Source organism: Homo sapiens, chromosome 2, assembly GCF_000001405.40.
Source record: "Homo sapiens chromosome 2, GRCh38.p14 Primary Assembly".
In the NCBI taxonomy this organism is placed as follows: Eukaryota; Metazoa; Chordata; class Mammalia; order Primates; family Hominidae; genus Homo; species Homo sapiens.
Window position 1 is genome coordinate 231,570,576 of NC_000002.12, and position 23,818 is coordinate 231,594,393.

At 49.5% G+C, this 23,818-nt stretch overlaps 1 protein-coding gene and 1 pseudogene across 1 annotated transcript, besides 6 other annotated features; both read left to right on the forward strand.

Moving 5' to 3' along the window:
* Positions 6,467-7,186: an enhancer, noted in NCBI's record as "NANOG-H3K27ac-H3K4me1 hESC enhancer chr2:232441753-232442472 (GRCh37/hg19 assembly coordinates)". NCBI's record gives its function as "activates a minimal SCP1, AML or CMV promoter by ChIP-STARR-seq in primed H9 embryonic stem cells {active_cell/tissue: H9 hESC(primed)}" and the evidence as "EXISTENCE:reporter gene assay evidence [ECO:0000049][PMID:30033119]".
* Positions 6,523-6,817: a silencer, noted in NCBI's record as "tiled region #1477; HepG2 Repressive non-DNase unmatched - State 22:ReprW". NCBI's record gives its function as "represses a minimal TATA promoter and a strong SV40 promoter by Sharpr-MPRA in HepG2 cells {active_cell/tissue: HepG2}" and the evidence as "EXISTENCE:reporter gene assay evidence [ECO:0000049][PMID:27701403]".
* Positions 9,454-9,954: an enhancer, noted in NCBI's record as "H3K27ac hESC enhancer chr2:232444740-232445240 (GRCh37/hg19 assembly coordinates)". NCBI's record gives its function as "activates a minimal SCP1, AML or CMV promoter by ChIP-STARR-seq in naive H9 embryonic stem cells {active_cell/tissue: H9 hESC(naive)}" and the evidence as "EXISTENCE:reporter gene assay evidence [ECO:0000049][PMID:30033119]".
* Positions 9,955-10,455: an enhancer, noted in NCBI's record as "H3K27ac hESC enhancer chr2:232445241-232445741 (GRCh37/hg19 assembly coordinates)". NCBI's record gives its function as "activates a minimal SCP1, AML or CMV promoter by ChIP-STARR-seq in primed H9 embryonic stem cells {active_cell/tissue: H9 hESC(primed)}" and the evidence as "EXISTENCE:reporter gene assay evidence [ECO:0000049][PMID:30033119]".
* Positions 11,121-12,034: an enhancer, noted in NCBI's record as "H3K27ac-H3K4me1 hESC enhancer chr2:232446407-232447320 (GRCh37/hg19 assembly coordinates)". NCBI's record gives its function as "activates a minimal SCP1, AML or CMV promoter by ChIP-STARR-seq in naive H9 embryonic stem cells {active_cell/tissue: H9 hESC(naive)}" and the evidence as "EXISTENCE:reporter gene assay evidence [ECO:0000049][PMID:30033119]".
* Positions 12,035-12,946: an enhancer, noted in NCBI's record as "H3K27ac-H3K4me1 hESC enhancer chr2:232447321-232448232 (GRCh37/hg19 assembly coordinates)". NCBI's record gives its function as "activates a minimal SCP1, AML or CMV promoter by ChIP-STARR-seq in naive H9 embryonic stem cells {active_cell/tissue: H9 hESC(naive)}" and the evidence as "EXISTENCE:reporter gene assay evidence [ECO:0000049][PMID:30033119]".
* RPL23AP26 (ribosomal protein L23a pseudogene 26) lies at positions 15,275-16,408 on the forward strand (annotated as a pseudogene).
* TEX44 (testis expressed 44) lies at positions 22,289-23,701 on the forward strand. The gene has a single exon (NM_152614.3). It carries the CDS (start codon positions 22,377-22,379, stop codon positions 23,562-23,564), a length of 1,188 nt encoding a protein of 395 aa, NP_689827.2. The 5' UTR covers positions 22,289-22,376; the 3' UTR covers positions 23,565-23,701.
* Positions 23,702-23,818: the final 117 nt, after the last annotated feature.

The following is a 23,818-nucleotide window of genomic DNA, read 5'->3' on the forward strand; positions in this document are numbered from 1 at the left end:
AACATGTGCCCAAGATGGTTGGGTTACAGCTTGATTTTATACATTTTAGGAGGACAGAAGTTACAGGCAGATATCAATCAATTCATGTGAGGTGTATATCAGTTTGGTCCAGAAAGGCAGGAAACCTCAAAGCTGGGGGGCTTCCAGGTCATAGGTCGATTCAGAGATTTTCTGATTGACAACTGTCTGAAAGAGTTGGTTTTTTTTGTTTGTTTGTTTTTGAGACGGAGTCTCACTCTCTTGCCCGGCTGGAGTGCAGTGGCGTGATCTCGGCTCACTGCAAACTCTGACTCCCGGGTTCAAGTGATTCTCCTGCCTCAGCCTCTCGAATAGCTGGGATTACAGGTATGCACCACCACACCTGGTTCATTTTCGTATTTTTAGTAGAGACAAGGTTTCACCATATTGGTAAGGCTGGTCTTGAACTCCTGACATCAGGTGATCCACCTGCCTCCGCCTCCCAAAGTGCTGGGATTACAGTTGTGAGCCACCACACCCGGCCAAGAGTTGTTATTATCTAAAGACCTAGAACCAGTGGAAAGGAGTGTGTGGGTTAAGATAAGGGGTTGTGTAGACCAAGGTTCTTATTATGTAGATGAAGTCTCATAGGTGACTGCCCTTAGAGGCAAAAAAAAATGGCACGTTTCCTATTCAGATCTTTTTTTTTTTTGAGATGGACTCTCGCTCTTGTGGCCCAGGCTGGAGTGCAGTGGCATGATCTTGCCTCACTGCAACCTCTGCCTCCCAGGTTCAAGCAATTCTCCTGCCTCAGCCTCCCAAGTAGCTGGGATTACAGGCACCCACCACCAAGCCTGGCTAATTTTTGTATTTTTAGCAGAGATGGGATTTTGTCACGTTGGCCAGGCTGGTCCCAAACTCCTGACCTCAGGTGATCCGCCCGCCTCGGCCTCCCAAAGTGCCGGGATTATAGGCGTGAGACACCACACCCTGCCACTCCTATTCAGATCTTTAAAAGGAGCTGGACTCTCAGCTAATCACTTCAGGATAAGAAAAAGATCTGGAAAGGACAGGGCTTCTCTATGGATCATAAATTTCCCCCACAAGAGGAAGCTTTGCGGGGCCGTTTCAAAATATCTCAAAGAAATATATTTGGGAGTAAAATACTTTCATTTCTTTCAGGGCCTACTGTCATGTGATGCTGTACTAGAGTCAGTTTGGAATTTGGTATTTATTGCTACAAAGAGTCTGCTTGATCAGTCTTAAGATCTCTGTTTTAATGTTAATGCTGGACAGTTGTGCCTGAACTGCGAAGGGAGGAGAGTGTGATGAGCATGGCCGACACCCCCGCTTCCCATCATGGCCTGAACTAGTTTTTCAGGTTTACTTTGGAATCCCCTTGGCTGAGAGGAGGGGACCATTCAGTCAGTTGGGGAGTCTTAGAATTTTATTTTTGGTTTACAGGGCTGGAGGCTAGAAAAGTTGACTGGAGGGCTGGGGCGGTGGGAGAGGGTGTGTATGTGGTATGGAGAGGGCTGAAGCACCCTTTGTTTTAGAGATGAGTGGGAGGGATGGTCTCTCAGTTCAATTTGCTTCCCCACTCTATGGGTGTTTGGGTGGCCCCAGGAATCCTATTTGCATAAGGGGTCAAAGCCTCCTGGGGACTTGGGAAGAAGGAATTTATTTTAACTTGCAAATGTGTCCTAATAATTAAGTAATACTGAAAGGGCAAATGAATTGTATGAATTTAAACATGTTCAAAAGCTCAAAAGAAAAAACTTGCCCACAATTCTACCATGACTAGAATTCTGTCTCTGACACTGGCTGCCCATTTGTTGCTATTTGTCTCGCATTGTACACTTTTCACTTTCAGGACAGTCTCTTAAAGCAAGAGACCTTTACTGTAGGAAAACTAGAAAATGCAGCTAGCCCAAGGAAAACAATTTTATTCAGTCACTTGGAATCCTACTACCTGAAGGATCTTGTTTTTGTGTCTTATATTTATTTGACTACTGATACGTTTAAACATTTTTGCAGGTTTATTAGCTATCTGGATTTCTTTGGGGAATAGTCTGTTTTTGTCTTTTGCATATTCTGTTACTGGTTATCTAATGATGCCTTATTAATCTGTTTGGGGTCTTTATATTGTGTTGATGTCAACCCGTCATGGTATTTGTACAAATATTTTTTTCCAGTTTGTGGTTTGTTCTTAAAAATTTTAGAGTTTTTTTTTTTTTTTTTTTTTTTTTTTACCTATGTCTGTTTTCCCCTTTGAAATTACTTTACTGGCTAGGTGCACTGGCTCATGCCTATAATCGCAGCACTTTGGGAGGCCAAGGCGGGAGGATCACTTGAGGTCAGGAGTTCGAGACCAGCCTGGCCAATATGGTGAAACTTCATCTCTACTAAAAATACAAAAATTAGCCAGCATGGTGGTGCATGCCTGTAATCCCAGCTATTCAGGAGGCTGAGGCAGGAGAATCACTTGAGCCTGGAAGGCAGAACTTGCAGTGGGCCGAGATTGCACCACTGCACTCCAGCCTGGGCTACAGAGTGAGACTCCATCTCAAAAAAAGAAAAAAAAAAAAAGAAAAAAAAGTACTTTTTCTTCCCCAGATCATGTATTTTATTTTTTTAGTTTGCTTGTCTCTCTCTCTCTCTCTCTCTCTCTCTCTCCCTCCCTCCCTCCCTCCCTCCCTCCTTGCATTTACCTCTCTGAGCCATCTGGCAGTGAAAGTGAAGGGCTAACCCAGTGTTTTCCAAATACTTAGCAATCCTCCCAGCACCATTTTGTAACTCAGCCCTCCACTGTCCCTGCTCTCTGCGTCCTCAAGGGCAGTCTCTGCCTGCTCCAAGCCAACACGTAGGGGAAAACAGCACCCAGGTCCTGCAGTCGCCCCCAAGCCAGCGCTCACACAAAAGCTTGAGCAAGCAAGGTGGGATTTTTGATGTTGTGGAGGAGGAGGCAAGGCATTTACCTTGGGGACCTCAACACAAACAACTTGAAAATCCCCTTGGCGTTTCTGTTCTCCCCAAGTCCCAGCTGCTCCACCCGGGGAGGCCTGACCTTCCCCCTTCCCAGCACTGCTGGCCTCACTGCTCACCTCCAATACCCCCATTTCCCAGGAACTTCCACTCCTCGCCCCTCACTCCTGCAGAACAACTGGGCTCTACCGCAGCCCCTGCCCAAACCCAACCTCTTCCAGACAGAGGCCCTGTAACAGCATCCACCCTCCCTAGAAAGCAGGGTGGCAGCGTCCTTTGGAACTTGAGAATGCGTGTGGGTCCCCAGCCCCTACCCCATGGGGCTTATTAACCTGTTTCTTCCAAACAAATCCAGTGTGTGTTCTAAGGGGAATTCCCACGCCAGCTGCAAGTGCTGCTCCAGCTCCTGGGTTTCTTACACATTCGGGGAATGGGATTACTGGGGAGACGTGGAATCTGGAGGTCCCCTAGAGGGCTGGTGATCAGAGGGGCTGCCCTGAGAGCTGAGAGCTGGGACAGAGCACCCCTTGGGACAGTCGGCCCGATGACCCAGGTTCCCAAGGACCTTCCCAGGTCCCCCCACCCCCGCACCGCCCCAAAGAGGCCTCGTTGGCAGGCAGGGGCCATGTGCACTGCCCTCCTCAAGGTGGGCGTGGCCATGGGGGCATGCAGACAGGGAGAGCAGAGCCCTGGAAATGTCCAGGCCCACACACCCAGAAGCAGCCATGGGAGGCCCAGTGGGTCCAGATCCCCGTGGCCACCCGGAGGTGGCAGCAGCTAGAGCAGGGACCACAGTCAGCAGTGCCCATCACAGCAGGTGGAGACAGAGAGTGGCTGCAGCAGGGACACAAGGCTGAGGAGGGGTGTGCCTAACTGTAATAAACAAAGTTCCGAGCTTCCCTAAAGGGTGTGCTGGCTCCACAACATCAGCCTACACAATCTTGCAGTAGTCGGGAACGTGGGCTAGACACGAAGCTCAAAGCCCTGCTGTCCTCTTTGCTGAGCCACGGTTTCCTCACCTGTAAAATGGGGATAATAACAGTACCTACCAGCCGGGCACGGTGGTTTATGCCTGTAATCCCAGCACTTTGGGGGGCCGAGGCAGGTAGATCACCTGAGGTCAGGAGTTTGAGACCAGCCTGGCTAACGTGATGAAACCCTGTCGCTACAAAATACAAAAATTATCCGGGCACGGTGGTGCACACCTGTAGTTCCAGCTGCTCAGAAGGCTGAGGCAGGAGGATCACTTGAGTCTGGGAGGTGGAGGTTGCAATGAGCCAAGATTGCACCACTGCACTCCCGCCTGGGCAACAAAGCAAGACTCGGTCTCAAAAAAACAAAAACAAAAAACAAACAGAAAAACAGCACCTACCACCGAGGGCTCTTGGGAGGATTAAGCAGTGCTGCGTGTGACAGTGTCCGGGGTCAAGACTCAATAATGGGTCACATCCTTAGAGGTCCTGTTAGCTCCCTGGGCTGCGTAACAAATGACCACAGACCAGGCACCTTACAACAACACAAATGTGTTATCCCACAGTTCTGGAGGCCAGAAGTCCGCAGTGAAGGTGTTGGCAGGGCTGGGCTCCCCCTTGACTCTTCTAGCTTCTGGTGGCTCCAGGAGCTCTTGGCTCTCACTCCACTCTCCGCCTCTGTCCTCACAGGCCCACCTTCCCTGTGTTGTGTGTTCTCCTTTCTCCTCTTTTTTTTTTTTTCCTGAGATGGAGTTTCACTCTTGTTTCCTAGGCTGGAGTGCAATGGCACGATCTTGGCTCACTGCAACCTCTGCCTCCCAGGTTCAAGCAATTCTCCTGCCTCAGACTCCTAACTAGCTGGGATTACAGGTGCGCACCACCACACCCAGCTAATTTTTGTATTTTTAGTAGAGACGGGGTTTCACCATGTTGGTCAGGCTGAACTCGAACTCCAGACCTCATGATCCACCCACATTGGCCTCCCAAAGTGCTTTGATTACAGGCATTAGCCACCATGCCCAGGGGTATCCTCAACTTAATTATATCTACAAAGACCATTTTGTCCAAATAAAGTCACATTCATACATCCCAGGAGTTTGGATATGGATCTATCTTTTAGGGGCCTCAATTCATCCCACTACAGATGCCAACTTACTGAATCGGTTCATCAATTCTCTGTTCGCTAGTGTAGACTGGGGGTCGGGGACGGCAGCTTTTGCTTTTTTGAATGTTGAGTCTTTCCATGCTGAATTTAAGTGAGGAATCTGGCCATAGGTGAGGGGCAGTGCCAAGGAAGGCTCTGCAGACGGGTGTGGGAGGGGCCTGTGGGAGTGATTTATGGACCAGTGTAGGCAAGAGTCTAGGGATGGAGGGTTCCAGCACCCAGAGCAGGAGGGAGGTGACCCGAGAGCTGCAGCCATGGCAGCCGGAGGAGCCAGAGTGCTCCCAGAGAGGCAGTGTGGTGGGGCCCCACCACTCAGGTTCCCTGGGTGACTTTCAGGCTAGGGCTGCTGTTTCTCAGGGTCCCTTTGGTGGATAGTCACAGGAAGCCCTGGTTCAACTGGCTGAAGCAACATGGAAACAATCACCTCCCATCACAGGAAGTCCGGTGGCTGGGTGGCTGCAGGCGCAGTTTGATCAAGGCTTTGCCCTGCTTTTCTGCAATCTCCCTGGTTCGGCCATTCTCTATGTAGGGCTTTTCTCAGACCAGATGCCCTCATGGTCACAAGAGGCCTAACTGGATATGATCATTTATAGGAGGAGAGGAAGACCATGACTTCCCAGGCCTCCTAATGAGTGAGGAAACCCCCCACGGGCTCCAGGGAGCCTCCCCTTGCTCTCACGACTCCACAGCCAGGACTGCATGAAGGCCCTGAGCATGGGCCTGAGCCAGTGATGCCCAGGGAAATGGCTGAGACCACAGGAACCCACCCCTGGAGCTAGACTGGGGCCAGGCCCCTGAAATATCTGAAACTCAGTGTTCTTTGTGGGGAGGAAGAGGATGGCTAGTACATGGCACCCAGGTCACCGTGTGAAATGGTGGAGCAGCAGCCCGTTGGCACAGCCCCAGCAGGGCCAGCCTCAAAATGAGGGGCCACAAGCTAACAGCAGGTACCCAGGAAGAAAGGGCTCCTGTGCAGGCCATGGTGGTTTGCTGGGAGAGGGGCCCTGAGACCTCGCTTCCCGGATGCTGGGGCTGGGGCACTTGGGGTGAGCACTGGAGGGCATGGACAGACAGGGAGATAGCAGTATCCACAGCCCCTCCTCCTCCCCTGCTTCCCCATGAAGGCTGCTGTGGGGAAAAGCAAGAGAGATCAGATTGTTACTGTGTCTGTGTAGAAAGAAGTAGACATAGGAGACTCCATTTTGTTATGTACTAAGAAAAATTCTTCTGCCTTGAGATTCTGTGACCTTACCCCCAACCCCGTGCTCTCTGAAACATGTGCTGTGTCAACTCAGAGTTGAATGGATTAAGGGCGGTGCAAGATGTGCTTTGTTAAACAGATGCTTGAGGGCAGCATGCTCCTTAAGAGTCATCACCACTCCCTAATCTCAAGTACCCAGGGACACAAAAACTGCGGAAGGCCGCAGGGACCTCTGCCTAGGAAAGCCAGGTATTGTCCAAGGTTTCTCCCCATGTGATAGTCTGAAATATGGCCTCGTGGGAAGGGAAAGACCTGACCGTACCCCAGCCTGACACCCGGGAAGGGTCTGTGCTGAGGAGGATTAGTAAAAGAGGAAGGAATGTCTCTTGCAGTTGAGACAAGAGGAAGGCATCTGTCTCCTGCCTGTCCCTGGGCAATGGAATGTCTCGGTATAAAACCCAATTGTATGCTCCATCTACTGAGATAGGGAAAAACCGCCTTAGGGCTGGAGGTGGGACCTGCGGGCAGCAATACTGCTTTGTAAAGCATTGAGATGTTTATGTGTATGCATATCTAAAAGCACAGCACTTAATCCTTTACCTTGTCTATGATGCAAAGACCTTTGTTCACGTGTTTGTCTGCTGACCCTCTCCCCACAATTGTCTTGTGACCCTGACACATCCCCCTCTTCGAGAAACACCCACAAATGATCAATAAATACTAAGGGAACTCAGAGGCTGGGGGGATCCTCCATATGCTGAACGCTGGTTCCCCGGGTCCCCTTATTTCTTTCTCTATACTTTGTCTCTGTGTCTTTTTCTTTCCCAATTCTCTCGTTCCACCTTACGAGAAACACCCACAGGTGTGGAGGGGCAACCCACCCCTACAGGCTGCTATCTGGCTTGGAGGATCCTTTGATGGGGAGGGGTGGGGCGAGGCTGTGGGAAAGTGGGCCGAGGCTGGGAGCACCTCCTCTGCTTCCTTGGGTGAAGAGCCTGGACAGATGGGGCTCTGCTTCTGCCCTGATCACCCCCACCCTGGGTCTCCGATTCCTTGTTTGAAGACGGGGGGCAAGGATGTCAGCTCTGTCAGTCCCCTCCTAGCTGTGGATATCACCACAGGCAGACGTTCACTACGAGAGAATCTTGGGCTCACTTGATGAGAAAACTCCACCCCCCCCCCCTTTTTTTTTTTTTTTGAGATGGAGTCTTGCTCTGTCGCCCAGGCTGGAGTGCAGTGGCGCGATCTCAGCTCACTACAAGCTCTGCCTCCCAGGTTTGCGCCATTCTCCTGCCTCAGCCTCCCAAGTAGCTGGGACTACAGGTGCCCGCCACCACGCCCAGCTACTTTTTTGTATTTTTTTTAGTAGAGACGGGGTTTCACCATGTTAGCCAGGATGGTCTCGATCTCCTGACCTCGTGATCTGCCCGCCTCAGCCTCCCAAAGTGCTGGGATTACAGGCATGACCCGCTTTTATTTTTTTTAAATGTAAAAGCTGCTTTGTATTAAAGACATATAATCCCAGCACTTTGTGAGACCAAGGCGGGAAGCTCTCTTGAGGCCAGGAGTTTGAGACAAGCCTGGGCAACATATGAGACCCTGTCTGCCGCCACTGTAGGACTTTGAACAGGCCTCCTTAACCTCTCCAGGCCTCGGTTTCCTCATCTGTAGACATCTGGAAAAACAGCAAGCCCTGCCTCATGAAGATGCTGGAAGAATTAATTGATTTGCATTTACAGAGCTTAACATTGTGCTGTCTAGTGGAAGAAAACGTGTTCACATCTGGAGCTGGGAGGACTTCTGGGGTGCAATAGGCACCACCTACCTGATGCCACTGCCAGGAGGCTCTTGGCTGCCACTTGTGGATGAACCACTCACACCAGGCAATGGTGGAGCTTCCGGTGAGAAAACCCTTCAAAGGACAAATCATCCATGAGCTCTCGACAGTAGGCAGCCTGTCCATAAGAGATGAACCATCATCACCATCCCCATCACCATCATCATCACCATCACCATCATCAATATTATTGTCATCACTATCATCATCATCATCACCATCACCATCACCATCATCATCATCATCACCATCATCATCACCATCATCATCACCATCATCATCATCATCATCATCATCATCATCATCATCATCATCATCATCATCATCATCATCATCATCATCATCATCATCATCATCATCATCATCATCATCATCATCATCATCATCATCATCATCATCATCATCATCATCATCATCATCATCATCATCATCATCATCATCATCATCATCATCATCATCATCATCATCATCATCATCATCATCATCATCATCATCATCATCATCATCATCATCATCATCATCATCATCATCATCATCATCATCATCATCATCATCATCATCATCATCATCATCATCATCATCATCATCATCATCATCATCATCATCATCATCATCATCATCATCATCATCATCATCATCATCTCCATCATTATCATCATCATCATCATCATCATCATCATCATCATCATCATCATCATCATCTCCATCATCATCAACATCATCATCATCATCATCATCATCATCATCATCATCATCATCATCATCATCACAATAACCATCATCATCATCAACAACATCATCATCATCATCACCATCATCATCATCATCATCATCATCATCATCATCATCATCAGCATCAACATCATCATCATCAATAATATTCACACCACCCCTACCATCACCACCATCACCACCACCACAACCATCACCATCACCATCATTATCATCACCGTCATCATCATCATCACTGTCATCTTCACCATCACCATCACCATTACCATCACCATCACCATCATTATCACCATCATCATCATCATCACTATCATCTTCACCATCACCATCATCATCACCATCACCATCACCGTCACCATCATCATCACCATCACCATTACCATCACCACCACCATCATGCTGTCCAGCACTCTCCAGGGCACTGTGACCTCCATTACCTCCTTGCATTCTCACAACAATGCTTTCGGGAAGTGCTTGGTTTTTCCAAACAACCAATTCTTCAGTTCTCTGACACTAACTGGGTGTTCTGCAATTCCATTCAATTCCTTCAATAACTACTCAGAGTTAGCACAGACTCTGAGTCCAGAGGCCAAGGGGCTTAGTTCTGCTTCAGATGACAGCCATAAATGGGGTCCCCTGGCTATATGCAATTCTGCCCGGCCATGCTGAGGTTCAATAATTTGCTAGAACGACTCATAGAACTCAGAAACATATACTTATGACTATGGTGTATTATAAAGGACACAAATGGCCAGATGTGGTGGCTCATGCCTATAATCCCAGCACTTTGGGAGGCCAAGGCAGGCAGATCACCTGAAGTCAGGAGTTTGAGACCAGCCTGACCAACATGGTGAGACCCCATCTCTACTAAAAATACAAAAAGTAGTCAGGCGTGGTGGTGCACGCCTGTAATCCCAGCTACTCAGGAGGCTGAGGCAGGAGAATCACTTGAACCTGGAAGGCAGAGGTTGCAGTGAGCTGAGATCATGCCACTGTACTCCAGCCTGGGAAACAGAGCCAGACTCCATCTCAAAAGAAGAAAAAGAAGAAGAAGAAGGAGGAAGAGGAAGAGGAGAAGGAGGAGCAGGAGGAGGAGAAGAAGAAGAAGGAGAAGAAGAAGAAGAAGGAGGAGAAGAAGAAGAAGAAGAAGAAGAAGAAGAAGAAGAAGAAGAGGGAGGAGGAGGAGGAGGGGGAGGAGGAGGAGGAAGAAGAGGAAGAAGAAGAGAGCCTCTGTCCCTGTGGAGCTGGGGTGGCCTTACTCCCCACACATGGATGTATTCAGCAACCCAGAAACTCCCCAAACCTCGTTGCTGAAGTTTTCACTGGGGAGGCATGATTGATTAAATCGTTGGCTACTGGTAACCAAACTCATTCTCCAGCCTCCTGGAGGAAGGGGGAGGACGCGGGGCACAGGGGTGCTGAAGTTGCACCAACCCTCTTCTCATCAAGGTGGTTGGTTCCTGTGGTGACCAGCCCCATCCTGAAGCTATGGGGTGGGGAGGCCCTATCAAGAGTCACCTCATTAGCATAAACTAAGATATGGTCAAAGGGGCTTCTTATGAATAACAAAAGACATTCCTATCTCCAACCCGGTGGCAGGTGCCTATAGTCCCAGTTGAGGTGGGAGTGAAACTGCCACTGCAAAATTATAACTGAGACACTGAAAGAGATCTGACCTAACCAACTCCATCTTGCTTCTAACCTCCAAGCTGTCCTTGTTCATTCCTAACTTTAGGAGGAGCTTTGTTTACAGTTTACAACAAAGACAGTAACAGCCCTTTCCCAAAATGAACCTCCTTCTTGCCTGGGGACTAGACTGCTTTTGTAGGACTAACAAATTAGCCAAAAGGTTAGAAATTATGGTTTAGGAGTCATGCAGCTGGAGGCTACAAGATTCTGACCCTTCCCACATTGCTACTGGGAATAACATCACTATTGTAAAACCTAAGATCAGTGCTTGAGATATCTTGCAGACCCTGCACTTGATGGATCAGCTGGCACCACACAGATCGATAAGCTGGCTCATCTAATCTTGTGGCCACCACCCAGGAACTGACTCAGGGCAAGAGGACAGCTTCGAATCCCTATGATTTCATCTCAGACCCAACCAATCAGCAATCCTGACTCACTAACTCCCCACCCACCAAATTATCTTTTAAAACTCTGATCCCTGAATGCTCAGGGAGACTAATCGAGTAATAATAAAGCTCTAGTCTCCTGCACAGCCGGCTGTGTGTGAATTACTCTTTCTCTATTGCAATTTCCCTGTCTTGAAATTGGCTTTGTCTAGGCAGCAGGCAAGGCGAACTCGTTGCGGGGGGTTACTGGAGGATCATTTAAGGCCAGGGGTTCAAAGGCACAGTGCACTATGATCACACCTGTGAATAGTCGCTGCAATCCATCCTGGGTGACATCAAGACTCGTCTCTATTTAAAAAAAAAAAAAGATGCTCCTATCTATCACTCAAGAAATGTTAGGCCAGGCCAGGCATGGTTGCTCACACTTGTAATCCCAGCACTTTGGGAGGCCGAGGCAGGCGGATCACCTGAGGTCAGGAGTTCGAGACCAGCCTGACCAACATGGTGAAACCCCATCTCTGCTAAAAATACAAAAATTAGCTGAGCATAGTGGAGGGCGCCTGTAGTCCCAGCTACTCGGGAGGCTGAGGCAGGAGAATTGCTTGAACCCGGGAGGTGGAGGTTGCAGTGAGCCAAGATGCCCTCCAGCCTGGGCGACAAAACAAGACTCCGTCTAAAAAAAAAAAAATGTCAGGCCGGGTGCGTTGGCCTGTCTCAGCACTTTGGGAGGCCGAAATGGGCAGATTACTGGAAGCCTGGAGTTCAAGACCAGCCTGGGCCGGGGAGGCGGAGGCTGCAGTGAGCCGAGATTGCACCACTGCACTGCAGTCTGGGCAGCAAAGCGAGACTCTGTCTCAAAAAATAAAAAGAAATTTCAAAGGTTTTTGGAGTTCTGTGCCAGGGACCTGGGACAAAGACCAAATATATACTTTGTATTACACCAAAGGTAAGGACTATTATTATATCCATTTTACAGTTAGGGGAACTGAGGCACAGAGGTGTTAAGTAACTTGCCTTACATTACACAGCTAGCTATAGCAAAGACAGGATTTGAACCCAGACAGCCAGCTCCAAAGGCCACATGTTAGCCACAAAACTAGAATGCCTTGCTCTGTGGGACTCTGGGGAGTCGTGGGGTGTGGTCCTCCTCCACAGGGAACCCTGAGGGTTGCCCCCTTCAGAGGGCAGAGCAAACAGCCACCCCACTGGGAGAAAGAGCATAATCAGACTCAATGCTGTGCGGGGAAACCGTGATTCGTTGTGGGGGAACAGCCCTGATTTGTAGCCACTTTCAGTGGTGAAAATAATTCCACCAAAGCTGACGACACTGAACTCCAAGTTGGGCACAGAGATGCACAATCACCGGCCGCCAGCCGACTGCAACACACACCACGCACAGCTCTGTGGGGCTGGGGACTTTGCTGGGTGTCCCCAGTAGGTCCGTGGTTCTAAGAGGGCAGCTGCTTCCACCAGCGTCTGCACGACAAGCAGAAGCTTCCTTCCACTGTCTTAGGCTTTCAGCCCCACTCAGGGCCTGGACTGAGAGGACAGCCTTGCCCCTCTCCAGTTTGGTGGGCAGCACCTCGCTGGATTCTCGAAGTGGACTCTCCCCTCTCAGCCAGCCCACCCAGGGCCCCGCTTGTTTGCTAAATGCTCCACACACGGCAATCTGGATGGCACCCTGAGGCCATGGCTCTGTCTTCACAGGGACACCCCTGTCTAAGTCCACCCTTCTGGAACATGGGGGTCTCCCATTCTTTCTAGCTCAGCTAGGTATTTAACCTACTGTGGACCACATTTTATCCAGCATTTCTGTGTGTTTGAAGAGAGTGAGAATGTGTGTGAGGGGGTATGTGTGTGTGCACTGAGATAGCAGGCTTCCCACTCACTCAGTCCACCATATTTCTTAGGGTGATTTAAATTTTTATTTATAGGTAGTCATTTTTGCTTCTATGTGTCTTCTGATTTTTTTTTTTTTTTTTTTTTTTTTTGAGACAGAGTCTCACTCTGTTGCCCAGGCTGGAGTGCGGTGGTGCGATCTCGGCTCACTGCAAACTTTGCCTCCCAGGTTCAAGCCATTCTCGTGCCTCAGCCTCCCGAGTTGCTGGGATTACAGGCGCCCACCACCACACCAGCCAATTTTTGTATTTTTAGTAGGGACGGGGTTTCACCAGGTTGGCCAGGCTGGTCTTGAACTCCTGACCTCAAGTGATCCACCCACCTCGGCCTCCCAAAGTGCTGGGATTACAGGCATGAGCCACCGCGCCCGGCCCTGTTTTCTGATTTTGTTAACAATAATCAGAACTTCTTCCGGACATTTTGCTCTATTTCCTGCCAGGCTTTCCCCCAATAAACAGCCTTTCTTGCACATGTCTGTCATTATCATTTAGTGGAGTTTATGTTTCCAGCCCAGCATCCAGTTCACAGTTCACCTTCTTTTGGTAACAGCACCCCAGTTTTCCTCCTGGGAATGATTCCACTACCTTCCACAGGCCTTATGTTAGGGTGGGGCCGCACCCCCCCCGCAACCACATCAGGAGTGGTTGCATGACCCAGGCCTGAGCAATCAGGATGCTGTAGTAATTGCTTCTGAGACACGCCAGGAGCCCACGATCCTGTCCCGAGATTTGCCGAAACCGCAGGGGACCAGCATCTCTTTGAACTGGCCTGAGCTGTTAGGAAGGATGCCTGGAGCGCTAGCAGCCTCCGCATGGAGGAAATCCCCCTGAAAATCTAGCCATCAATGACAAAGGGAGCAAAGAGAAGAGAAAGAACCGAATCCCTGACAGCGTCATGAGCACCTGCTGTGTAGACCCTTTCCTCCAGGCTTTACAGGTTCCTGTGAGCCAAGAAATTTCTTGATTTTTGTTATTTTTGCAGAAGTCAATTTGATTTGGGTTTCTATAGCTTCCAGCTGAAAGAGTATGGGCAAATAAATACACATAGTGTGCATAAAATATTGCATCCTGCTTTTTAAAATATTTTATTTTTTGAGACAGGTTCTCACCCTGTTTCCCAGGCTAGAGTGCATTGGTGCTATCCTAGCTCTCTGCAGCCTCAACCTCCCAGGTCAAGTGATCCTCCTGCCTCAGCCTTCTGAGTAGCTGGGACTATGGGTGCATGCCACCACACCTGGTCCTAATTTTTTTATTTTCGTATTTTAATTTTATTTATTTATCTATTTATTTATTGACGCAGTAATAAATGTTACCCAGGCTAGAGTGCAGTAGCATGATCTCAGTTCACTGCAACCTCTACCTCCCAGGCTGAAGTGATCCTCCCTCCCACCTCAGCCTCCAGAGGAGCTGGGACCGCAGGTGCACACCACCACGTCCGGCTAATTTTGTTGTTGTTGGAGAGATGGGGTTTCTTCATGTTACCCAGGCTGGTCTCCTTCCACCCACCTTGGCCTCCCACATGCTGGGATTGCAGGCATGAACCACCATATCTAGCCTTATTTTTTGAGATGGGGTCACACTCTGTTGCCTAGGCTGGAGTGCAGTGGTGCAATTACAGCTCACTGTAGCCTCGAACACCCGGACTCAAATAATCCTCCCGCCTTGGCCTCCCAAAGTGCTGGGACTACAAGTGTGAGCCACCACGCCCAACCTCCTGCTTTTTAAAGTAACATTATATAACAATCTTTTTCCATGTTTCTGTACAGGCTTTATACAGCTTCATAATATTCCATAAACTGAGTTTACCCTAAAATAAGAGTATTTAATTATTTAATTCGAGAGTCATTCTCCCCAAGAGAAAGGAGTTGAGGGCCAGGCACGGTGGCTCATGCTTGTAAATCCCAGCACTTTGGGAGGCTGAGGCAGGCGGATCACTTGAGGTCAAGAGTTCGAGACCAGCCTGGCCAACATGGCAAAACCCCATGTCAACTAAAAATACAAAAATTAGCCGGGCATGGTGGCAGGTACCCGTAATCCCAGCTACTTGGGAGGCTGAGGCAGGAGAGTTGCCTGAACCCAGGAGGCAGAGGTTGCAGTGAGCCAAGATCACTCACGCCACCGCACTCCAGCCCGCAACCTGGGGGACAAGAGTAAGACTTCATCTCAAAAAAAAAAAAAATTAGCCAGGTGTGGTGGCAAATGCCTGTAGTCCCAGCTACTTGGGAGGCTGAGGCATGAGAATCGCTTGAACCTGGGAGGCAGAGGTTGCAGTGAGCCGAGATCATGCCACTGCACTCCAGCCTGGGTGACAGAGTGAGACTCCATCTCAAAAAAAAAAAAAAAAAAAAAAAAAAAAAGAGAGAGAGAGAGAAAGGAATTGAAAAGAAAGCAAAGGCAAATTATTTGAGACGAATTTCCTCTTATGAGAACTACTTAATAAAGGTAGAGAACTCTTTTTACAAGATGATGCCAAAGGCAAAGAAGGAAGCTCTTGCCCCTCCTAAAGCTGAAGCCAAAGCAAAGGCTTTGAAGGCCAAGAAGGCAGAGCTGAAAGGTATCCACAGCCACAAAAAAAAGATCTGCACGTCACCCACCTTCCAGCGGCCCAAGACACTGCGACTCTGGAGGCGGCCCAGATATTCCCAGAAGAGCATCCCTGGGAGAAATAAGCTTGGCCACTGTGTTATCATCAAGTTTCCGCTGACCACTGAGTTGGCCACGAAGAAGACAGACGACAACAACACACTGTGTTCATTGTGGATGTTAAAGCCAACAAGCACCAGATCAAACAGGCTGTGAAGAAGCTCTATGACATCGACGTGGCAGTGGTCAACACCCTGAATAGGCCTGATGGAGAGAAGAAGGCATATGTTCAACTGGCTGCTGATTATGATGCTTTGGATGTTGCCAACAAAAATGAGATCATGTGGTTGGGCACGGTGGCTCACACCTATAATCCCAGCACTTCGGGAGGCCGAGGAGAGTGGATCACCTGAGGTCAGGAGTTTGAGACCAGCCTGGCCGACATGGCAAAACCCTGTCTCTATTAAAAATACAAGAAAATAAGCCAGGTGTGGTGGTGCGCTCCTGTAGTCCCAGCTACTCAGGAGGCTAAAACAGAAGAATCACTTGAACCCAGGAGGCAGAGGTTTCAGTGAGCTGAGATCACATCACTGCACTCCAGCCTGGGCCATAGAGCAAGACTCTGTCTCAAAAAAAACAAAAAAAAAGCCAGGCGCGGTGGCTCACGCCTGTAATCCCAGCACTTTGGGAGGCTGAGGCGGGCGGATCACCTGAGGTCAAAAGTTTGAGAACAGCCTGACCAACATGGAGAAACCCCATCTCCACTAAAAATACAAAATTAGCTGGACGTGGTGGCGCATGCCTGTAATCCCAGCTACTCGGGAGGCTGAGGCAGAAGAATCACTTGAACTCGGGAGGAGGAGGTTACGGTGAGCCAAGATCGCGCCATTGCACTCCAGTCTGAGCAACAAGAGTGAAACTCTATCTCAAAAAAAAAAAAAGGGATCATCTAAACTGAGTCCAGCTGGCTAATTCTAAATATATATATATCTTTTCACCAGAAAAAAAAAAATAAAAGTAGGAAAGTTTTTAACTAAGATGGAGAAAACTTTCATATATATTTTATTTTGTATTTTATTTATGTACAGAATATATCTAAAATATATATTGTCCACATAACAGAATAAATATATTTTGTTCTATACTGATCTCATTTAATATTTATTTACAAATAAATAATCCTTTATTTTTTGTTCCCCAATTTTAATAAATCTCTCTGCCTTTGACATCAGTGCCTATTCATTCCACTGTAGCCTTCCTTGGGCACGATTTTCAAGCATATGAAACTTTTTTTTTTTTTGAGATGAAGTTTCACTCTTGTTGCCCAGGCTGGAGTGCAATGGTGCAACCTCGGCTCACCACAACCTCCGCCTTCCAGGTTCAAGCAATTCTCCTGCCTCAGTCTCCTGAGTAGCTGGAATGACAGGTGCACCACCAAGCCCAGCTAATTTTGTATTTTTAGTAAAATGGGGTTTATCCACGTTGGTCAGGCTGGTCTCAAACTCCTGATCTCAGGTGATCCACCCGCCTCGGCCTCCCAAAGTGCTAGGATTACAGGCGTGAGCCACCATGCCTGGCCCAAGCATATGAAATGTAACAAGGGTCAACATAAAGTGCAACATGTAGAATCAAAAGCTGAATTCCAAATACAGAGTTTGTCCTTGGTGCCTATAAGGTGCATGATGGTTTTAGTGGGCCACATGAGGGGACATCAGAAACTTTCTATTCTCAACACACACACACAAAGTAAGAAAGAAAGAAAATGGCCAGGTGCGGTGGCTCATGCTTGTAATCCCAGCATTTTGGGAGGCCAAGGCAGGCAGATTGCTTGAGCCCAGAAGTTCAAGACCATCCTGGGCAACATAGTGAGACTCCATCTCTACAAAATATTTAAAAATCAGCCAGCCATGGTGCACACACCTGTAGTCCCAACTACTCAGAGGCTGAGGTGGGAGGATCCCTTGAGCCCAGGAGGTCAAGGCTGCAGTGAGCTATGATTGTACCACTGTACTCCAGCCTGGGCAACATAGTGAGACCCTGTTGAAAGAAAACAAGAAAAAAGAGAGAAGGGGGAAGAGGAAAGAAAGAGAAAGAAAAGAGAAGAGAAGAGGAGGGAAAAGGAGGGAAGGGAAAGGAAGGGAAGGGAAAGGAAGGGAAGGGAAGGGAAGGGAAAGAAAAAAGAAAAGAAAGAGGGAGGGAGGAAGGAAGGAGGGTGGGGGAAGGAGGGAGGGAGGGAGGGAGATGGAAACTATACGAGGTGAGGGATATGTTAATTAGCTTGATTGTAGTGATTATTTCACAGTCTAATGTACAACAAAACATTAAGTCAGCCAGGCACAGTGGCTCACGTCTGTAATCCTAGCACTTTGGGAGGCAGAGGCAGGTGGATCACGGGTCAGGAGTTCAAGACCAGCCTGGCCAAGATGGTGAAACCCCGTCTCTACTAAAAATACAAAAATTAGCCAGGCTCGGTGACAGGCGCCTGTAATCCCGGCTACTTGGAAGGCTGAGGCAGGAGAATCGCTTGAACCCGGGGGCCGGAGGTTGCAGTGAACTGAGATCGTGCCACTGCACTCCAGCCTGGGTGACAGAGTGAGATTCCATCTCAAAAAAAAAAAAAAATTAAGTCATATATAGGTTTTTATTTCCTGGGTAAAGATAGGGAGCGGGGAGAACTTTCTAACTAAAAGCAGGGAGCTGTGTGGGGTGTGGGGCTTTGGAGTCAGGCAGATGCCACTGACCTTGCTATGTGCTTGGCTTCTCTAAGCCTCAGTTTCCTCATCTGAAAAATGGGGAAATAACCCCTGCCCAGCGTCAGGCCTACTGACACTCAGTGCCATATGCTACTCTTGATTGTTTAGGACTGGAAGATATTCAAGCAAACACGGACCAACCACTTGACAGGGATCTCATAACTGTTAGAATTGGATTAGGATTACGTTTAGCTGCATGTAATAGAAAACCAAAAATAATCATTTGGGCACATATAGTGTTATTTTCCCTCACATAAAGGAATTTGAGAGGTTGGCGATAGTCTGGTCTGGTGGCTGCCGGACAGCTCCAATCATGGGACCCAGGGTCCTTCCATCCTTGCTTGGTCCACCCTCTTACTGTGTGCCTTCCACCCTCAAGATTACCTAGAGGGTTGCTAGACCAGTCCTCTTGCTGGACCAAGAGGGTTGCTGTTGCTCCAGCCTTCACATTCCTGATAGGGGGAAGAGCAAAAAGATGTTAAACTCTTTGAAGGATCCTTTCTGAAGTTCGACTCAATACTTTCTGCTTACTTCTCAATGGCCAGAACATGGTCACATGTTCTTACCTACCTGCAAAGGAGGCTGGGAAATGTGTTCTTTTAGCTAAGACACAGAGGCCCTGAATAAAATCAGGGTCCTGACACTAAGTGTCAAAAGACAAAATTACAAGTTTAGTTTAAAGCTCTCAATTGGCTTTGTGATTCTAGAATCAGGCAACACTTGATTTCCTAAAATAGAATAAGGGTTCCAATGAATCAAGCAGTGAAAGTTGGCTTTATAGACAGGAAGAGGGTGGAAAAAAGCAGAAACTAAAAACAAAAACCAGGCTAGGTGCAGTGGCTCACACCTATAATCCCAGCACTTGGGAGGTGAGAGGTTCGCTTGAGCCCAGGAGTTAGAAACCAAGCTGAGCAACATGGCGAAATCCCATCTCTACAAAGAATTTAAAAAATAGCCGGACATGTTGGCACGTACCTATAGTCCCAGCTACTCAGGAGGCTGAGGCTGGAGGAGTGCTTGAGCCCAGGAGTTCAAGACAGAAGAAAAAAAATTAAAACGGAGGGAACTTCATTATCGTGCCACTTGAAGATTGAAACTGGCCTGTTTCTGTCATGTCAGCACTTTGGGAGGCTGAAGTGGGCAGATTCCTTGAGCCCAGGAGTTCGGGACCAGCCTGGGCAACATGGTGAAATTCCATCTTTACAAAAAGTAAAAACAAAATTAACTAGGTGTGCTAGAATGTGCCTGTATTCCCAGCTACTTGGGAGGCTGAAGTAAGAGAATTGCTTCAGCTCGGAGTTGGGATCACACACTGAACTCCAGCCAAGGCCACAGAGCAAGATGCTGTCTCAAAAAAAAAAAAAAAAATACCGGGCGAGATGGCTCACATCTGTAATCCCAGCACTTTGGGAGGCTGAGATGGGTGGATCACCTGAGGCCAGGAGTTCGAGACCAGCTTGAGCTGAGGAAAAAGAATCGCTTGAACCCGGGAGGCAGAGGTTGCAGTGAGCTGAGATCACGCCACTGCACTCCAACCAAGGCAACAGAGCAAGACTCTACCTCAAAAAAAAAAAAAAAGAAAAAAGAAACTGGCCCATTTGGGAAACTGGCAATCATCTCTGTCTCCCGGTGATTTGGAACCTCAGTGTGAGTGACCCCATCTTGACGTTTAGTCCAGTCTGCTGGGGCCTGGTGCAGGAGCCTCATCCGAAGCAGTAGCCTCCTATAATTTCTATTTAGCAATTGTCTGACACTAAGGAAGAAGGTCATCTGGGATGGGCAGCCACCATTCTCTCCAGGACTCCTTTACAAGCTACAGGCTGTACTCATCGGCCCCTCACACTCCAACAAGCCTGGGTTTGCCCTGTGACCTCTGAGGTGGCGGCAGGGTATCTGCGGGGAAAATAAACACTTAGTGAGCAAGGAGCCTGGTGTCAGTAGTGCCGCCAGCCTCAGAGGGTTAAGGTGGAGGCTGGCTGGGCGGAGTCAGTAAAAGGAGTGTGAAGGGAAGGCCTGATCCTGGGAGAGGTGGAGGAGGGAGGGAGCCAGCCCGGAGAGGCAGCAGGATAGAGGACAAGGGCAGAGAGTTTCAGGGAGGGGAATTTTCCATACACTCATGACCATGCTGCTGATGGTGCAGCCCAGCACTGGCAGCAGCTGTCACCTGCTGGTGTGGTGGAACCGGTTCTAATGGGAGGCCTCTGTCTGCATCTGCCAGCATCATTACCATGCCAGTCATTAGATATATCTTTTTTCTTTTTTAAGGCACAGGATCTCGCTCCGTCACCCGGGCTGGGATGCAATGATGTGATCACAGCTCACTGCAGCCTGGAACTCCTGAGCTCAAGAAATCCTCCTCCTGGGCCTCAGCCTCCCCAGTAGCTGGGGCTACAGGTGCACACCACCATGCCCAGCTAATTTTTGTTTTATTTTTTGTAGAGACAGGGTCATACTACGTTGCCCAGGCTGGTCTTGAACTCCTGGGCTCAAGCGATCCTCCCACCTTGGCCTTTTAAAGTTCTGGGATTACAGGCATGAGCCACCATGCCCAGTCCCTCATTCAACGTTTTTAATATCCCTCCTGGGTATGAGAGAGTGCTGGAAAGCTTAGTATTGAAGCCAGACAGGGTTCAAATCCCAGATTCAGCTCTTATTAATAGTGTGGCTTTGAGTAAGTCGCTTATTCTCTGTGAGGCTCAGCATGCCTGTGTGTAAACTGAGTATACTAGTAGAACCGTACCTACCCAGAGGTGATGGGTGATGAGAAGGATGCTATGCGCCCTTTTCTGCCCATAAGCAGTCACTAAATGTTAGCTGATAACCCCTGGAGAAGCACAGACACGACCGACTGAGCCTTCCTCTCCAAACATCTTCTTAATGTAGGCATTTTTTTTTTTTTTTTTTGAGATAGAGTTTCGCCCTTGTTGCCCAGGCTGGAGTGCGATGGTGCGATCTCGGCTCACCACAACCTCCGCCTCCCGGGGTTCAAGCGATACTCCTGCCTCAGCCTCCCGAGCAGCTGGGATTACAGGCATGTGCCACCACGCCCAGCTAATTTTGTATTTTTAGTAGAGACGGGGTTTCTCCATGTTGGTCAGGCTGGTCTCAAACTCCTGACCTCAGATGATCTGCCCGCCTCAGCCTCCCAAAGTGCTGGGATCACAGGCATGAGCCACCGTGCCCAGCTAAGCACAAGTAGGTGTATCTGGGGTTATCCTTCTCCAAGAAACACTCAGAGGTCTGCAGACCTTTTGTTATTCTCTGCCCTTCTAGTCCAGATGAGCAAGGAGAAGATAGAGATTTTTGCCCTACATCAAAAGGGTTAAACCCACAGCCACAAATGGAGCTGCCCAGGCCCTTGGCTTTTGCTTATACCTACTCACCACTGCTGGGAAACTGATTCCCTGCAGGAACACTGACTAAATTGGGGGTGGTTATTTGTTGTTGTTTGTTGTTGTTGTTGTTTTGTTTGTTTATTTGTTTTGAAACGGAGTACGCTTTTGCCCAGGCTGGAGTGCAATGGTGCGATCTCGGCTCACTGCAACCTCCACTCCCTGGGTTCGAGCAATTCTTCTGCCTCAGCTTCCCCAGTAGCTGGGATTACAGGTGCACGCCAATACGCCCGGCTACTTTTTGCATTTTTAGTAGAGACAGGGTTTCACCATGTTGGCCAGGCTGGTCTCGAACTCCTGACCTCAGGTGATCCCCCCACCTCAGCCTCCCAGAGTGCTGGGATTACAGGAGTGAGCCACCATGCCCAGCCTAAATTGGGGTCTTGAGGCACCAGTGTAGACAGAGAGGTGCCAGGAGGGGTCCCTTATAAACACTGTTCTAAATCAACATCTGCATCCCTTCTCATTTGTCAGAGTCACAGCTGTCACTCCTCCTGTGTCCCTGTGGTTGTACTTGCCCCTGTGCACACGCCTCCAGCCCTTTCAAGAACATTTGTCATTTTTTCCCTATGTACCTGCAAAGTTGGCAACAAACTGTCCCATAGACTTAGCCCACTTGGAAGGCTGCTCCAGAAGCTCAAGACCCTTGCTCTATGGGTACCTGTGACATCACCAGTGGCCACAGTCCCTTGTGACCTCACCACTTGGACAACTCAGCCCAGCTGGGTTGCAGCCACTCCCTCCAACCGCCACAAGCAGCAAAGGGCATAGATGACCACAGGAGAGCCCTAGGGGGAGGCCGGCTCCACCAGCAGCCCCATACATGGCACTCCCAGGGTACCCCCTGGGCAACGTGGATGACAGCAGGTCTAAGGACAGCCCAGCAGGAGAGCCCCAAGGTCAGGTCCCACTCACAGCAGATGTCTTGGCAGTGAGCAGCTCTGTCGCATCCACTGACTGGCAGGATATAGATCAGGCCTCCTTCAAGACGGCCACCCCCAGGGCCATATCAACATCTGGAGACAAAGACAAGAGTGCAGTTGTTCCAGAACACGGCCAGAAGACACCCAGAAAAATCACACCTCTGCTTCCCAGCCAAAATCCAAGTCCCCTGCAAGTGTCTATGAGCCTTCAGAATCCAGCGTGGGACAGGCAGGTTCAAGACGCAAGGACAAGTCAGAGTCTAGTGGTTTTCCCAAGTCACCTCCTGGGTAAAGACAAGATGTCACAAATGGCGAGTGTTCCTGAGAGAGAGCCGGAGTCAGCCCCCTCTGCCCCGAGTGCTGAGCTACAGTCCACCCAGCACATGGAGGCTCAGCCCGTCGAGAGTGATGCTGACCATGTCACAGCAGGTGCCAATGGCCAGCATGGCCCTCAGGCTGCCAGCACCACCAAGTCTGCTGAGGAGAAAGCTGAGCATCCAAAGGCCCCACACCCTGAAGCTGAAGCTTTACCATCTGATGAGTCCCCAGTGGCAATGGGGGCAAATGTGGTGGACAGCTTAGGAGACCTGCAGACTTGGTTCTTCCCTCCACCTCCAGCAGGCAGTGTGTCCCCGTCGCCTGGCCCCCACGAGGTGGCCCTGGGGAGAAGGCCCCTGGACTCCAGCCTGTACACGGCCAGTGAGGAGAACAGCTACATGCGCTCCATGACCAGCCTGCTGGACAGGGGCGAGGGCTCCATCAGCTCCCTGGCAGACATCCTGGTGTGGTCCGAGACCACCATGGGCATGGCCATAGCCACAGGCTTCCTGGATTCCGGCCACAGCACTGTGGCAGACCTGCTGCACAGCTCGGGGCCCAGCTTGCGCTCGGTCCCCAGCCTGGTGGGAAGCGTCAGCTCGGCCTTCTCCTCTGGGCTGGTGTCAGGGACCAGCTCAGCCCTGCGCACCATCACCCGTGTGCTGGAGACAGTGGAGCAGAGGACCGTGGAGGGCATCCGCTCAGCCATGCGCTACCTGACCAGCCACCTCACCCCACGCCAGGCCCAGGCTGACCCCAACTATGATTAGAGCCCTGCACAGGGACCCCCGAAGGGCTGGTTCAGTGGCCTCCAGAGATCCCTGGGACCCTCACGCCCTGCTCCCTTGCCCATTCTTGCTCTGGACGGTTCCCCCAGCCCATGCAATAAATCACCAGTGAGCATTTATTTCTAAGCACCAGCCTCCTCCCTTGGGGTGCAGTGAGCAACACGGTGACAGGACAGGAGGGCTCGGGGTGCGGTGGAAACAGCGTCCCCTGAGGGTTTCTCAGGCTGTCCCATTCA

Excerpts from the sequence above, each read along its gene's own strand:
- TEX44 (NM_152614.3), top strand. The coding sequence starts at position 22,377 with ATGGCACTCCCAGGGTACCCCCTGGGCAACGTGGATGACAGCAGGTCT.